At 41.0% G+C, this 15,064-nt stretch overlaps 1 protein-coding gene and 1 long non-coding RNA gene across 10 annotated transcripts in view; one reads left to right on the top strand and one right to left on the bottom strand.

The window, feature by feature from the left end:
- The window catches only part of FARP2 (FERM, ARH/RhoGEF and pleckstrin domain protein 2), a 138,557-nt gene that overhangs the window by 120,479 nt on the left and 3,014 nt on the right, over positions 1-15,064 (bottom strand). For 8 of the 9 annotated variants that reach the window (XM_047446511.1, XM_011512233.1, NM_014808.4 and 5 more), the window contains exon 2: positions 1,073-1,279. In XM_047446511.1, coding sequence (XP_047302467.1) covers positions 1,073-1,255 — 183 coding nt within the window. In that variant the 5' untranslated portion in view covers positions 1,256-1,279. Of the gene's footprint in view, positions 1-1,072; positions 1,280-1,656; positions 1,742-15,064 lie in introns of those variants that run through there. The other variant, XM_011512234.2, reaches the window with a different exon arrangement.
- Positions 1,623-13,485, top strand: LOC105373973 (uncharacterized). Its single transcript, XR_924066.2, has 3 exons — positions 1,623-1,892; positions 3,826-3,988; positions 13,363-13,485. It is a non-coding gene; the product is annotated as an uncharacterized LOC105373973 (long non-coding RNA).

Here is a 15,064-nt window from a genome sequence, read left to right as displayed (position 1 = left end):
GAATGTATTTGTGTATTACATATGAAAATAAATAATTTTAAAAAGAACTTTTGGCTGGGCACGGTGGCTTACACCTATAATCCTAGCACTTGGGAGGCTGAGGTAGGAGGATCCCTTGAGCCCAGGAGTTTGAGGCCAGCCTGGGCAACATGGCAAAACCCTGTTTCTACTAAAAGTACAAAAATTAGCCAGGCGTGGTGGTGCATGCTTGTAATCCCAGCTACTCCCGGGGTTGAGGAGGGCGGATCGCTTGAGCCCATGAGGTCCAGGCTGCAGTGAGGCATGATCGCACCACTGCACTCCAGCCTGGGTTGACAGAACAACACCCTTTCTCAAAAAAAAAAAAAAGTAAAAGATGAATAAAAAGAACTTTCATGCTAATAACATGTAGAAAAACAAAAAAATGTTTTCTAATACATCACATGGATCTAAAAAATAGTGTTACTTAAATATTGATATATGCATATATTCTTAGTATATTTAATTGTTCTTGCTAATATTACCAGTGCAATCTTCTATCAGGGAATTTTCAAAATAAAAACTGTATTATCATTGACCTAGAAAATTAAGTTATATGTTAACACCATACAACACCTCCTGCATGACAGGCTCTGTGTGTTTGCTCAATCCTCTCACCAGCAGCTCTGAGAAAGAGGGATTATAATTGTCCCTCTGTTTCAGAAAAGGAAGCTGACACACATGGAAGCTAAGTGGCATCCCCGCATCCAGGTGGCCTGGGCCTCGCTGAGACCAGGTGGCTTAAGCTGGGAAGGTCTGGGTGTACCATCTGGCTCCAGTCTGCACCTTCCAGCAGTCTCTTAGCCAGCCTCTCACGAAAGAAGATGAGTAGAAAGACCAAATTGTACTACAATTTTAAACAAAAGATACAATACCACTTTCCAAATAAAAGGAGAAATTCAGATTTACTGTTTCTAAGGATTTTCTCATGTGTTACCAAAGCTACTCTTGATCAACTTAATATGCAAAGTCTAACCAGCAAAATGGAATTTGGTACATAATTTGACTGTTAGAAGATATAAGGAAATATGCCTCCAAAAATCATGCTTCTTACCTCAATGTCAAATATTTCCATGGTGTTGTCCAGCAGCTTTACTCTGAGGTGCAGGTGCTTCTCTTGCATTCTGGGCAAGAGAGTCTGCCCAGGCTCAAGGGTGCTAACTCCCACAGGGGTCTGGGCACCCAAGCGCATCCCTGCAGTCTGCAGGACTCTGTATGTTCCTTCTATCTCCCCCATTCTTCACCATGAGTGAAGAAAACACTAAAATGAAAAAAAAAAAAACCACATGAAGGAATTATCACATTATTTAGGTACTAAAACAAGGTAAAAGACAAATTATCGGAGACACGGGAATCCTCTGTACTATTACTGCAACTTCTGTGAGTCTTAATCACGTCAAAAGAAAGTGTTACAAAAGATTATTTTCTACTCAGGCACTCATAGGTGGAGCATAAAATAACAAGCACCACCCTCAATAACAATATTTCCAGATGCTCTATGAGCCAGGCATACCCATTAACTCATTTAACCTGTTAGACCTCACAAACGAGTGACATCACCACCACCCACCCACCCAGCAGAGGCAAGAGAGCCCAGGGCTGCCACACCAACCCTAGGCTGCCCACTCCCTGGCACACCTCTCGCCACCAGCCCAAACAGTTATTGTGGTGATGATCCTTTTTAAGTACTAGATGGTGCCATTTCTACCAAACGTAAACAGGCTCCACAAAGCACAGCATCAACGCGTGTCAGGCAGTGCACAGCAAGAGCTGAGGCATTCGTGCAGCTGTTCTTCCCCTCTGCTGACTTTATGTGGAGTAAAGGGCTACTCCAGCTGAGGAAAAATGCCAATAAAGGAGATGAAAACAGCCAGGTTTGTCTTTGCCAGCTTTGTAACCCGCGATTTTTCTAACGTGTCTCGCCAGGGTGGAGTGGGTGCCACTGGTAGTCTGGGATGTAATTTCACATATGGAACTGAATGACAGCCTGGATAAGGGTAACAAGGACCACATGCCTGGTAGCAGGAGGCACCTGCCCCTGGTCAGGCCCTTCCCAGCTCCTGCCCATTCTCACAATAACCCCCATACTCACAATAACCCCCTCATCACTATCCACAGCCCACTTAACAGATGACAATGAGGGCCCAAGAAGGTCAAACACCTGGCCTAGGGAGGAGCTCAGGTCCTTTTCAACTCTCCTTTTGTGCCAAGGGAAAGGTCTCTGCTTGCAAGCTGTTAAGTCTAACAGTGCTATGCTTGTCATTATTTATTTAATGCACTGTAGATTTTATTTTTCCATTCAAATTGGGTATATATTTTTTAAAACAGATTTTATTGTGTATATTTGAAGTCTGCAACATGATGGCACGGGACACACAAAGATAGTAAAATGTGTCTTCATTGTTTTTAACGAAGATCAGGCTAGTATTAGGTACTAAATATTTAGTATTAAGTATCAGCTAAAATTAATAATACTAGCTTGTTTTTAATATTTATTAATAATCTATTATTTATGGCAACTTCCCTTGTGAAATGTCTTATGTTTAAAAATCAATTTTTAAATATTTAATACAATAAAACATAGTATGGCAAAAAATATGGCAAAACTGGTGGAGGTGAGATACAAATGCTCGGTGTTTAATCAACAAAGCATGTAGCACTGCACGCATTATTTTATCTCACCCAATCACTCTCAGAGTCTTCCGCTAATCTGTAACCTTTTAAAGAGTTAATCTCACTCAATTTCTAGCCCAGTCCCCTTGCACGACAACTTAATTGCTCCGAGTCTCCTGGCCCTTTCCTCTTTTTCATGCTTATTTTGTCATCAAGACAAGCAAATCAAGAACCCCCGGCTATTTTTGGAGACGGAGTCTTGCTCTGTTGCCCAGGCTGAAGTGCACTGGCCCCATCTTGGTTCACTGCAACCTCCACCTCCCGGGCTCAAGCAATTCTCCCACCTCAGCCTCTGGCGTAGCTGGGACCACAGGCATGCGCCATCACACCCAGCTAATTTTTTGTATTTTTAGTAGAGATGGGGTTTCACCATGTTGGCCAGGCTGGTTTTCAACTCCTGGCCTCAACTCATCCTCCGACCTTGGCCTCCCAAAGTGCTGGGATTACAGGCGAGCCACCACACCTAGAAAAGAACCTTTTTAATCTCTTAATTTCAAATAGGCTCTCAGTGACTTACTGCCAGGCATTTCCTACTGTACACTTAAACCTTACCCACAAAGACAACCTTTTGAACTTCTGCACACGTCCAATTTATCAAACAAGAAAGCAAAAAATGAAGAGCTAAATCCTCCGGGAGAAGCAAAATGTGAGTACTATGAACAAAACAACAAGGCAGTGCAAGGTCCCATCCTAATTCCTAAACAAAGCCACTGACTGACACATTTATTACCTGAGCTGCACGTTTGGCACAGGTTGGCAGTTACCCATCATCTTCAGCTGTCTTTCTCCATGCTGGATGCTCCTTGAGGGAAGGAACTAAATTCTTACTGTAAACATTTGCTAAGTATTTACTTAATGTCACTGGCACCAAAAAACATGAACTGGTACATCATGAAATGTACTGTAAAGATGATAACAGCAAAAGACAAAAGACTACAACCACAAACAGAACAACACTTTAACAAAATTACCGTTTTTGCAACACTAATATTAAACATGAGATATATGAAGTTCTGAGAATCATAAACGAGCCTTTTCATTTCAGTTCCACAAACTTTTACTTAATTTTTATGAGTGCATAATTGTACATGTTTATGGGGTATGTGATTTTTTTTCTTATTTTTTAATTGACAGAAATTGTATATACTTATCATGTACAACATGATGCCCTGAAATATGTCTACACTACGGGATGGCCAAATTGAGGCAATTAACATATGCAAGACCTCACAAACTTCAAATTTTTTGTGGTGAGAACACTTAAAATCCACAAAAATTAGTAATGTTCAGAAATACGGTATGTATCTTAGCAATTTTCAGAAATACAATACTAACTAGAGTCACCATGCTATATAATAGATCTTCTAAACTGCTGTCTAACTCAAGTTTTGTATCCTTATACAAGCAAACAATGTGTAATGGTCAAATTAGGGTATTTGGGATATCCTCGACCTCAAACATTTACAAATTCTTTCTGTTGGGAACATTCCAAATCCACTCCTCCAGTTATTTTGAAATATACAATAAGGTATTAACTATAGTTGCCCTATTGTGCTACCAAACAATAGATCTTATTTCTTCTTACTGCATTTTTGTACCCATTAATTAATCCTTCTTAATTTCCCACCCCCTACTACCCTTCCCAACCTCTGGTAACCATCACTTTTTTTCAGTTCCCACATATGAGTGAGAATATATGATATTTGTCTTTTTCACAAACTTTTATTTATTGAGTAGTTAATGCAAAAGTAAGAGAATGCAAATGAAGAAGACTTCCACTTTGAAGGTTCCTCCAACGTGAAAACATGAAAATAAAAATAAGTGATCTATATGTTCTTGGTCAGCTCACAACATTTATTAAATATAGAACCACCAACAGTGGGTTCTTCTGAAACAAAGGATAGGATGTTTTACTTTGGTCACCAAAGGCATTCTTTCCCTTAAGTAATGCTACAAATCTGTAAACATTTATACAACTGAAATACATTTTTAGAAGTCATTTCTCTTATTTATTCTACTGTATAATTCTCATTTATGTTTTCTTAAGTATAGCTTTAAAAATTTCTTCAGGTTCTTTCTCTTCTACTCATTATAAGAAAGTCATGTCTAAACATCTACTGCTAAAAAAAAAAAATAGACAAGACTAACCTGTACTCCCTAGAGGTGCACATTCCACTGATAAAACCATAAAGAGAAAACACCAGGAAGTTATTACTAAAGTGGTCCCTTCTTGATGGGAGAGAGGGACTGTCACTGGGATGGAACACAGAGAAGGAGTTCTTAGGTGGGCAGGGCACAGTTTTATTTCTTGATCTGGACAGTGTTCATTTTATAATTCATTAAGCCATATATCTGATTCATGTTTTTATGTGTGTTTATTTTATAACAAAAATGTTTAAAACAAGTTTTTTAACATTGCTTCCTCTTCCACGAGAACATGACACACTAGACAAATAAAAAACACTTTTCCTAGCTTAAGGAATATCAAACTCTCTTCTCAAATATGTGGCTCACAGAGGAAATCTTTACACGTTTGCACACTTTCCAAGCAGCGACTTACATCCTCATTTTCATTTAGCCCAGACAGACGTCAACATGGCTGCAGCTGAGATGCAGGGCCACAACAAGATACCCTTGTTCATGAGACTGATCTTAAGAAGACAGATTCACTTGAGAGGAGATGACCCTGTGGTACTCTGTTGCTGATATCCCAAAGAAAAATCTGTTTGTTGTCACATAATAGTAACGTGGCATAAACTATCCGTTTAATAATTACTCAGCTTTAAGATTAAGACTAAGACTTATATTTAAGACTTTAACACTAAATTTAAGACTAAGACTTAAGTTTAAGACTTTAAGTTTATTACTAAGCTTATGAAAACTTAAAAAGACCTTAATAAAGCCAGGAATAGTGGCGCACACCTATAATCTCAGCTACTCAGGAGACTGAGGTGGGAGGATCACTTGAGAATAGCAGTTTGAAACCAGCCTGGGCAACATAGTGAGACTCTATCTCTAAAGAAATGTAAAAAAATACATTAATAGAATACCGGCAGGTAACCCCATTGTTGTGACTGTCGGTTAACCTCGGTGTCAAAGCCTGTCAATCCCAGCTACTCGGGAGGCTGAGGCTGTTTCACATAAATTTTGACTAATGAAAATTACATTTGTTTTGCTTTGTGCGCTTATAAACAAGTATTAAAGAGGCAAGAACACACAGGCTAGACTAGGAACACGGCAAGGCCATGAACAGTCCTTGGCGCACCATGTTCTGTGGTCCCAGGAACCTGGTGCCAACCTCTGCCCATCCCTGCTCCTGCCAGCGAAACCTCCCAGATACCCAGAGGAAAGTGGCAAAGTAAACAACCAAGAATCTGTGGGGGACTCAGCTTATTGTGCCATCTTCTTTCAACGTGAATGAAATGCTTTGCAGTCTTCATTCCTAAAAACATTTCTGGTGGCCGATACAATTTGCACTACTGACATTTGGTCCTGCCTACTACAAACTCGGCTCTTGTGGGTATAGTCTCATTTAATAATAAAAGAAAACCCCGTGACATGTCATTTCCATTTTAAAGTTGGAAAATTCAGCTCAAAAGTCTGCCAAAGCTTTGGGTGATAATGATGTACTGAGTAGGTTTGTAACAAATGGACCACTCTAGTGACAAATGTTGACAGTAGGGGATGCTGTGTGTATGTGGGGGTGGAGGGTATATGGAAAATCTCTTTATCTCCTGCTTAATTTTGCTATTAACCTAAAACTGCTCTAAAAAATAAAATCTATTAAAAAAAAAAAGGCCTGCCAAGGAACAAATAACTCAGAAGTGACAGAGCTAGGACTTGGGCCCAGACTTGGCTACCAAAACTCTTCCCCTTCTGCTGGAAAATCAGCACATGGCTTTTTAGACAAAAGCATAGTCCACCATCCACAGTAACGGGTAGAGGCTAACATTTCTATTTTGCAATTTAAAAAAAATCACCTTTCCTAAAATATTTTTCACTGTCTGCTTTGGGAAAATAAAAAACTAAACTCCTCTACGACCAACCCAAGAAACCAGAATATGAACTTAATATTTCACTACACTCATCTAATATGAAAGTCCACTGCAGCATTGGGAAGAAACTTCACTGCTGATGATGTTCAAATGGAATTCCTCCTCAATCCCTCGGCCCTGGGGCGCATTACCTCTTTACTGCAGCACAGCAAGAGACGGATCCTTCTTTATTCTCTTTCTAAGCATTAGTAACTTTTAGAATAAGGAACTAAATAGTCAATGTGAGGAAGCAGAGAAAAATGTCAAGACCTGTACTGTAAAGTAAGGCCTTCAAACTGCTAATGAGAAATGGCTGGCTGGGCAGGTGGGCTTGCACACCCTCCCCAGAACACTGCTGCATAAAAACACACCAACACTGCTACAGTGTTGTCTGAAGGCAGTGTGGCCCCAGCATCACAGAAACCACGCTTGGCCCCAGAAGCTTGGGGAGAAGGGTGCTGCAGAACTCATCTGCACACACTTCTCCAGCAGGCGCTTCAGGATGGCTGTGTCACTTGCACAGAGCTGACCACTGAGGAGGATCCATATGTGGGCAACCCTGTCCCTCAAACACCAGGAAGGGCAGTCAACAACTCAAGAACTCTGCTGATGGAAGAGCGCTTACTGACACAGAAAGGTATCTACCAAGCTGTGATTTAAAAAAGACCAAATAAAAAGGCAGGTGCTAATGGGGAACAAGGAAGGAGGCAGCAGCAGCTGGGGATGGTGGAAATTCAGGGCCAGCACACTCAGGTTTCAATTTCAACTCTGCCATTAACAAACTGAGTCACGGCACCACTCCCAGCCCCAGCTTTTTCAACTGGAAAATGACAGAGGAAGGGAAGGGTTAATCAGATATTTTTCAGGTCTAAGAATCCATGATTCTGTGATAAGGCAGCTCAATGTGAGAACAAATGGAAAGAAAATGTGTTCTTGATTTCTACTAATTTATAGTGTTTGGTAGCCAAAAATTAAATATACCCCATAAAATCATGTTATCACAATCTTCCTACCTTAGCATAATGCAACAGTGGCTAAATGTGTGCAAGAAAAGGAAGATCACTTTCAGACAAATTCAGCAACATAGTACACAGACTAATTGTTCCAAAGAGATTTCTTTCTACATAACTAATATTTGAAAATCTTACTTTTACTCCCCAGGTTATTTTTTTTAATTGCCTGAACACTAAACGGATGTATTATTTCCTTTAGAGTGTATTTTAGATCCTCTACAACCTGGTATCCTGATTTTATGTTAAACAAAATTCTACAAACTGAAAAGCAGAAGTTTTAGGAGCTGAAGTGAATCTGGATAACTGATTCTCAACACTTCTGTGGGGGATGGTATGAAGCCATCCAATTTAACATCAAAATCTTTACAGAAAAAAGCAAGATCTGTATATGCTGCTTTGGTGTGAAAGTGAATAAAAGGTGCAAAACCAGGTGCATGGCATGCTAACCTCTGTTAAAAGAGGAAGAAAATATATATGTGTGTGTGTATATATATATATATACGTATATATATATATATATTTTTTTTTTTTTAGTAGTGATGAGGTCTCACTAGGTTACCCAGGCTGGTCTCGAACTCTCAGGCTCAAGTGATGCCACTGCTTTAACCTCCCAAAGTGGTATGTATTTGTTTATATTAAAAAAAAAAAAAGAGCATAAACCAAAAACTAATGAAAATGGTTACCTATGAGGGAGGAAGTGAAAGGGGTAAACAATGTTGGAAACTGTACACGGTGTTTAGTAGTTTTGATACGGGAACCTCATAAATGGTTTCACATAATTAGAAAGCAAAATTAAATCAATATTTTAGAAAAGCAAGTCCTAAAAACCCAAACGAAATGAAACAAATGGTCTTAACTGTAAATCAAGACATCAGCTAAACTAAAGAAAATTACTTCAAGTGACTTCAAAGCCCAGTAACTTCATTCTACGTCACCAGGAAAATATATCCTAAGGAATAAAAGAACCACAAAGAAATCCTACAGGAGAAATGACCTTGTCTCTTTGGTAAATGGCAACAAAAAAAGGAAACGGTGTGTGTATGTGTGTAAATAAAAACTACTAAGACATGTTATCTATAAGGTATGATGTTATCAAATGCTATATATAGGACCTCATTTGAATCCTGAATCAAATATTTACAGATCAGAGAAATACGAATGCTAACTAAGCATCAGATGATATTAAGAGGTTAATATTATTTTCTAGTGTTTTAGTGGTATTGTGGGTACATGAAGGGGAAAAAAGTCCCTCTCTTAGAGATGGATACTAAAGCATTTATGGATAAAATGAAATAATATCTAGCATTTACTTAAAAATAATCCAACGAGTTGGGGATCAGTGGAAGTGGGTACAGGAAAAAAAGATTGTCCATGTGTTGATTATTGATGCTGTATACATGGGCTTTGATTTATTATTTTCTCTACTTTTGTGAATGTTTGGAATTTTCCACAAGTCAAAACAAAAAACAAATCTAGCAATAATTTTTGATGTACATAAGGATTCAAGGAACCCATGCAAGAGTTCAAGCTGAGAGAGAGGGAGAGAGAAGCTCCTACTTTATGAAATCCTGGCCCAGTCTCTACTTTCCATAAGAAACTACAGCCTTGAAAACGAAGCTGCTTGCTCAAGGCCACAGACCTGATTTGTGCAGGGGTGAGACTAATATCCGGCATGGCTCCCAGTCCAACAGATTACAGTGCAAATTCTTCAAGACTAAAAAACATAAGACTATATTTACAGGGATTATTTCTACAGTTCATTACTAGAGAAGTTTCTCTCAGGATGTAGAGCAGAAAAGATATATTAAAAATGACTGTGAAGGAATAGTTGTCAAGAAAAAATGAAAAGTATTAAAAAGATTAAAAACAAACAAAAAACTGATTTAAAGAACTGTAAATCCATGCATTATGAATTCACTCTTTCATCCATTTTATTTCAGTTATTGTATTTTTCACTAAAATTCCCACTTCTTTATATCTTCTGTTTTCTTGCCAAGACTTTCTATATTTCCATCTGTTTCAAGAGTAGCTTTACTTCTTGGACTATTTTAATAATAGGGGCTTTATAAAGTTTTATTTATTTTTTAACTGTAGCCTTAACAAATTTCCACAAACTTAGCAGCTTAAAATAACAGCCTTTTATTATCTCACAGTGTCTACGGGTTAGAAGTTTGAGTGTAATGTAACTCACCAGAATTCTCTGCTTAGGGTCTCAAAAGGTCTAAGTCAAGGTGTCAGCTGACCTGGGGTCTTATGTGGATTTCCTTGGGGGAGAATACACTTACAGGCTCATTCAAGTCTGTGTGGGTAGAGGACTGAGGTCCTTAGTTCTTGCTGGCTGTCAGCTGTTTGTCATTCTCATTCCTTGGCTCATGGCCCCTTCCATCTTCCATGCCAGAAATGTTACGTTGAAAACTTCTTATACTTCCAGTCTCTCTGCCTTCCCCATCTGCTACCAGCTGGAGGAAGATCCCTGCTTTTAAAGGCTCATATAATTACCTAAGGCCCACCTGGATAATCTAGACAACGAATCCAGGCTAGTTGATTCGTACCCTTCATTACATCTGCAATGTGCTTTTGCCAAATCAGTCACATACTCCCAGGATAAACACTAGGAGGTCAAGCTCATGGAGGCCACAAATCTGCAGACCACAGTCTATCAGATAATTCCAACATAGGCACCACCTCAGCTTTAGCCTGTGTCTTTTTTCACGAGTTATTTTCCTGGTTCTTCACATGCTGAGTAAATTTTGCATTGTATCCTGGACATTTTTAACATCACACTCTTAGAGACTCTTGATCTTGTTTAAATCCTATGGGGAATGCTGGTATTTTGTTGAGCAGGCACTGGCCTGGCTGGATTCAGTCCCCAGGTCCTGACCAGCCTTCTGTAGAACATGGTATCAGTGTCACTTTCACTTTCAAAGCCTTTGCAGTGCTCCTCAGCAATGTCCTGCGGTCCCTACTTGCTTGGTGGCCAGCCTGCCTTCCAGGCGATGGTCTATCCCATAGCCGAGTTCCGTCTTTGGCAACCTGTTCTGGCTCACATCACGCGTGCATAGCTCAGTGTTGAGCCTATAAGTTAACTAACAACTTCATGGGGTCACTTTCCTGAGCAATTCCCTCTCTGGAATCTCCCTAGTATCCCTTCCAGTGACCTGGGCTCCCCTTTTCAGACTCCAACCAGAAACCTACGGCTTTAATTACTCCGTTTAGCCATGCTATTCTTGTGCCTGCATCTTGCCTGGGACTGAGCTGCAGGAGGGAAGAGAATAAAAAGGCAACTGGGGTTTTCCCCATTCCCTAAGAGTTTTAGGTGTTCACACACTCCTGCCACTGCAGGGCTGAGTGGAGGAGAGGAAGCAAGAGGGAAAAAAATAATGGCTTTCTCCCACTTTCTGTCTTGGGGCCCAACTACAAAACTACTCTGTAGCTCTCCCTGTTCATACTGGGTACCTGCCTTCAGGTTTTGGACAGCCAGAGTCCAGGGCAGGGGATGCTGAAGGGAAGACAAGAAACTCACTACTGGTGCAAAGTGGTGCTTCAAATTCTGGCCTTCTCTCCCATCCGCCTGTTACCGTTTACTTGTCGGAGTCCTCAACAGCTGCTCCATGCACATGTCCAGGTCTTACAGCCACAGACAGTGGGAGAGGCAAGATGGAGTATGCTCCCTCCACCTCCCAGAACCACAGCTCCACATCCATGCATTTTAAAATACATTTATAGTGGTTATCATTGGGAGGGGTAAGAGGATTGATTTTTATTTCCTTCTTCCTAATTTTCTGTATTTGTCAAATCACCTACAGTGACGAGTATACATTATCTTTGAAGTCAGATGGTTTCTCTGCAGAATCCTGCAGAAGTACTACCAGCTTTAAAAGTCTTAACTGATAGGGGCTACCTACAGTATGCCATTACTTACCTTCCAAGAGAAAGCTGGAATAACTGTCTTTCCCCTTAGAGTTGTATTTGCTCTTCTTTCAAAAATAGTTCAATTAAAAATTAATATATATATATATTTTTGAGATGGAGTCTTGCTCTGTCACCCAGGCTGGAGAGCAGTGGCGCAATCTCGCCTCACTGCAAGCTCCGCCTCCTGGGTTCACGCCATTCTCCTGCCTCAGCCTCCCGAGTAGTTGGGATCACAGGCGCCCGCCACCATGCCCGGCTAATTTTTTGTGTTTTTAGTGAGATGGGGTTTCACCATGTTAGCCAGGATGACCTTGATCTCCTGACCTCATGATCTGCCCACCTCAGCCTCCCAGAGTGCTGGGATTACAGGCATGAGCCACCACGCCTGGCCAAAATTAATATTTTTAAACACTCTCTGGGTTCCATTTCTTGTTCAGATACTGATACTTGTTTTCCAACATTCATCTTATTAACTACTATACTAACAAAGCAACTGAGATTTTAATCATAAAGGGGGACCGGGCGTGATGGCTCACACCTGTAATCCCAGCACTTTGGGAGACGGAGGCAGGTGGTTTACTTGAGGTCAGGAGTTTGAGACCAGCCTGGCCAACATGGCGAAACCCTGTCTCTACTAAAAATACAAAAAAATTGGCTGGGCGTGGTGGCGTGTGCCTGTAATCCCAGCTACTTGGGAGACTGAGGCAGGAGAATCGCTTGAATGTGGGAGGCGGAGGTTGCAGTGAGCCAAGATTGCACCACTGCACTCCAGCCTGGGTGACAGAGTGAAACTCTGTCTAAAAAAAAATAAATAAATAAAAAATAAAAATAATAATAATAATAAAGGGGACAAGAAATTTATAAAAGCCTAGTAATTTAAACAATTTCTAAAAGTAGTTCCTCCTTCACAAACACATTCCCACTAGCTCCTGGAAGATTCACTTAGCACCTTCACCTCACATTCCCCTACTGGGTTATCTGGCATCAAGCCAGGGACCAGGAAACTACCCCCACTAAAGCAGTTTGACTATAGAGCTAGTCTGGCTCAGGTTTCTGGGCCCTCACTTGCACCAACTCCTTCCAAGGTCCCGAGAAAGGCCCTAAGCAGAGTGTCCCTATGGTCATACACTTTTGTAAAATTTACCCCCAAAATATTCTAATTGCAATAAATTAAGACTACTGCCTTTTCCCACTGCAACTCTGCCTCTGTTCCTCTTCCCCTTCATGTCAGGTAGCTTGGGAGGTGCTGCTGGCATTTTTGAGATCCACGTAAGGGTACATTAAGTTGGAGAAAGACACTTAGTTTGGGTTTAACAGGACACATTTATGCTGTTTACAGTTACTTCTACTATGCAAACCTAGGTGATTACCAGCAATCTCAATGCGGGTATTCCTTCTAGAAATACTATCACCCACTGTGCTGGTTCACCAGGGCTTTTATGAAATAAAGGTGAAGGGCCAGGGATCCTGTGGCAATGTGAATAGGTCCAATGGGGTCTGACTCAGGGAAGTGTGTGGGCAGTGGAAAGGAAACATGGTTTGAAATGGAGGGAGCCAGTTGCTTGTTTGTGGGGAATTTACCATCAGACGTGCTAAAATATAAGCGAATAGATCAGTTACCAGAAAAATAATCAATATAGCAGTACAATTCTGTGTGCCTAAGATGTGTGTTTTTTTTTTTTTTCTTTTTTGAATGGAATTGTGCGAAACAGGATTTACCTGAACACCTGTTTTTCTGGGACACCAACCTGTAGCAGTACTAGAAACAGCAAATACGTCTATGTGAAACCATAAGTTTTATGTACCCTATCAACAATAAAAATTTATCTACTGTGCTAGAGGAATCACTGAGTTCTTTCTATATCCTGTCATATGAAAATGTGATTAAAAAGTACACAGCCAAAGGAAGAAATATTACACAGGTGTGTTAGATAATTAACAAACGTTATTTTTCTCAATTTAGCCATTTGCATTATTCATCAGCTTTTTCAAATTTGTTACGTTCTCATTCTAAATATTCACTTTTTTTTTTTTTTTTTGAGACAGAGTCTCGCTCTGTCACCCAGGCTGGAGTGCAGTGGCGTGATCACGGCTCACTGCAACCTCCACCTCTCGGGTTCAAGTGATTCTCCTGCCTCAGCCTCCTGAGAAGCTGGGAATACAGGCACATGCCACCACACTTGGCTCATTTTTTGTATTTTTAGTAGAGACGGGGGGTTTCACTGTGTTAGCCAGGATGGTCTTCATCTCTTGACCTTGTGATCCACCTGCCTCTCCATCTCTTGACCTCGTGATCCACCCACCTCGGCCTCCCAAAGTGCTATGATTACAGGCGTGAGCCACCGCTCCCAGCCTCACTTTCTAAATTAGTTTTTATTTGTAACTTTGCATTCTTTCTCTTAAAGAGTTCTCCCCTTCCCCCAAATTGTATACCTTCAAGCTCCATAAAACCTGGCATCTACCTCTGCCTCAGAAGAAATCTGATTAATTCATTCAAATATTTATTGAGCTCTATTCTGTTTCAGGCAAGTCTAAATGCTTAGGGATACAGGAGTTCCTAAGAGAGAAAAATTCCCCCCTATATAGTGGACAAATACAAAGAAGAGAGTACCTAATATATATTAAATGGTGATTTAAGTGCCTTGGAGTGAGTAAAGTGAGGGTGGTAGAGAGGAAGTTGGCAGCTGGAGGGAGACAGGGAGGAGGCTTCATCAAGAGGACAAGGTCCAAGACAAGGCCTCAAAAATGCACTGGTACACATTACAACAGCTACCGTGTCCTGTATGACCACCACTGCAAGGAGATGCATGTCAAGCCCTTCGCTTATGTCATCTCATTTAATCCTCACAATAACCATGTGCAGCTGGCATCAAGGAACTCAGGCTCAGAAAGGTTAGTGATTTGTTAGCAGTCACTCAGCTCCACAAGCGGCCTCAACCCCATCGTGATTGCATGGTGTGCACAGAGCACACAAAGATACAGAAGTTTAATTCAGAAAGGGAGACGACTGAGAAAGTAACCAGTACTACCTGCCCACTGCAGTCACAGAGAGAGCAGAAAGAAAGAGGCAGCACCGCTGGCTAGCCTGACCTGGAGCAGCTTTCCTCACAGGGGAACAGGAGACCAGGTGGACAAAGGACATAGTGTGTGCACAGGCAGAGGACTACATAGAAACTGCAGGAGCAGCTGGGAAAGGATGAGTATAGTTGGGCTGAGACACCCGAGGGGAGGTGGGGAGGTGGCCTGGGGTTGTGCTGCGCGAGCTCTAGTGGGCCAACTGGTTGGAATCTCATACCAAAGTAGGTTTTGCAGCTGGGATAGGACATGACCACATTTTCATTTTGGGAAGCAATCAGGAGGATGGGCGGGGAAGGGGAAAGATGGGATTAAGCAAGATTCATCACTGCATCCTAC

Source organism: Homo sapiens, chromosome 2 (genome assembly GCF_000001405.40).
Source record: "Homo sapiens chromosome 2, GRCh38.p14 Primary Assembly".
In the NCBI taxonomy this organism is placed as follows: Eukaryota; Metazoa; Chordata; class Mammalia; order Primates; family Hominidae; genus Homo; species Homo sapiens.
Note: the sequence above shows the minus strand (reverse complement) of the source record. Positions and strands in the feature narration are given on the sequence as shown.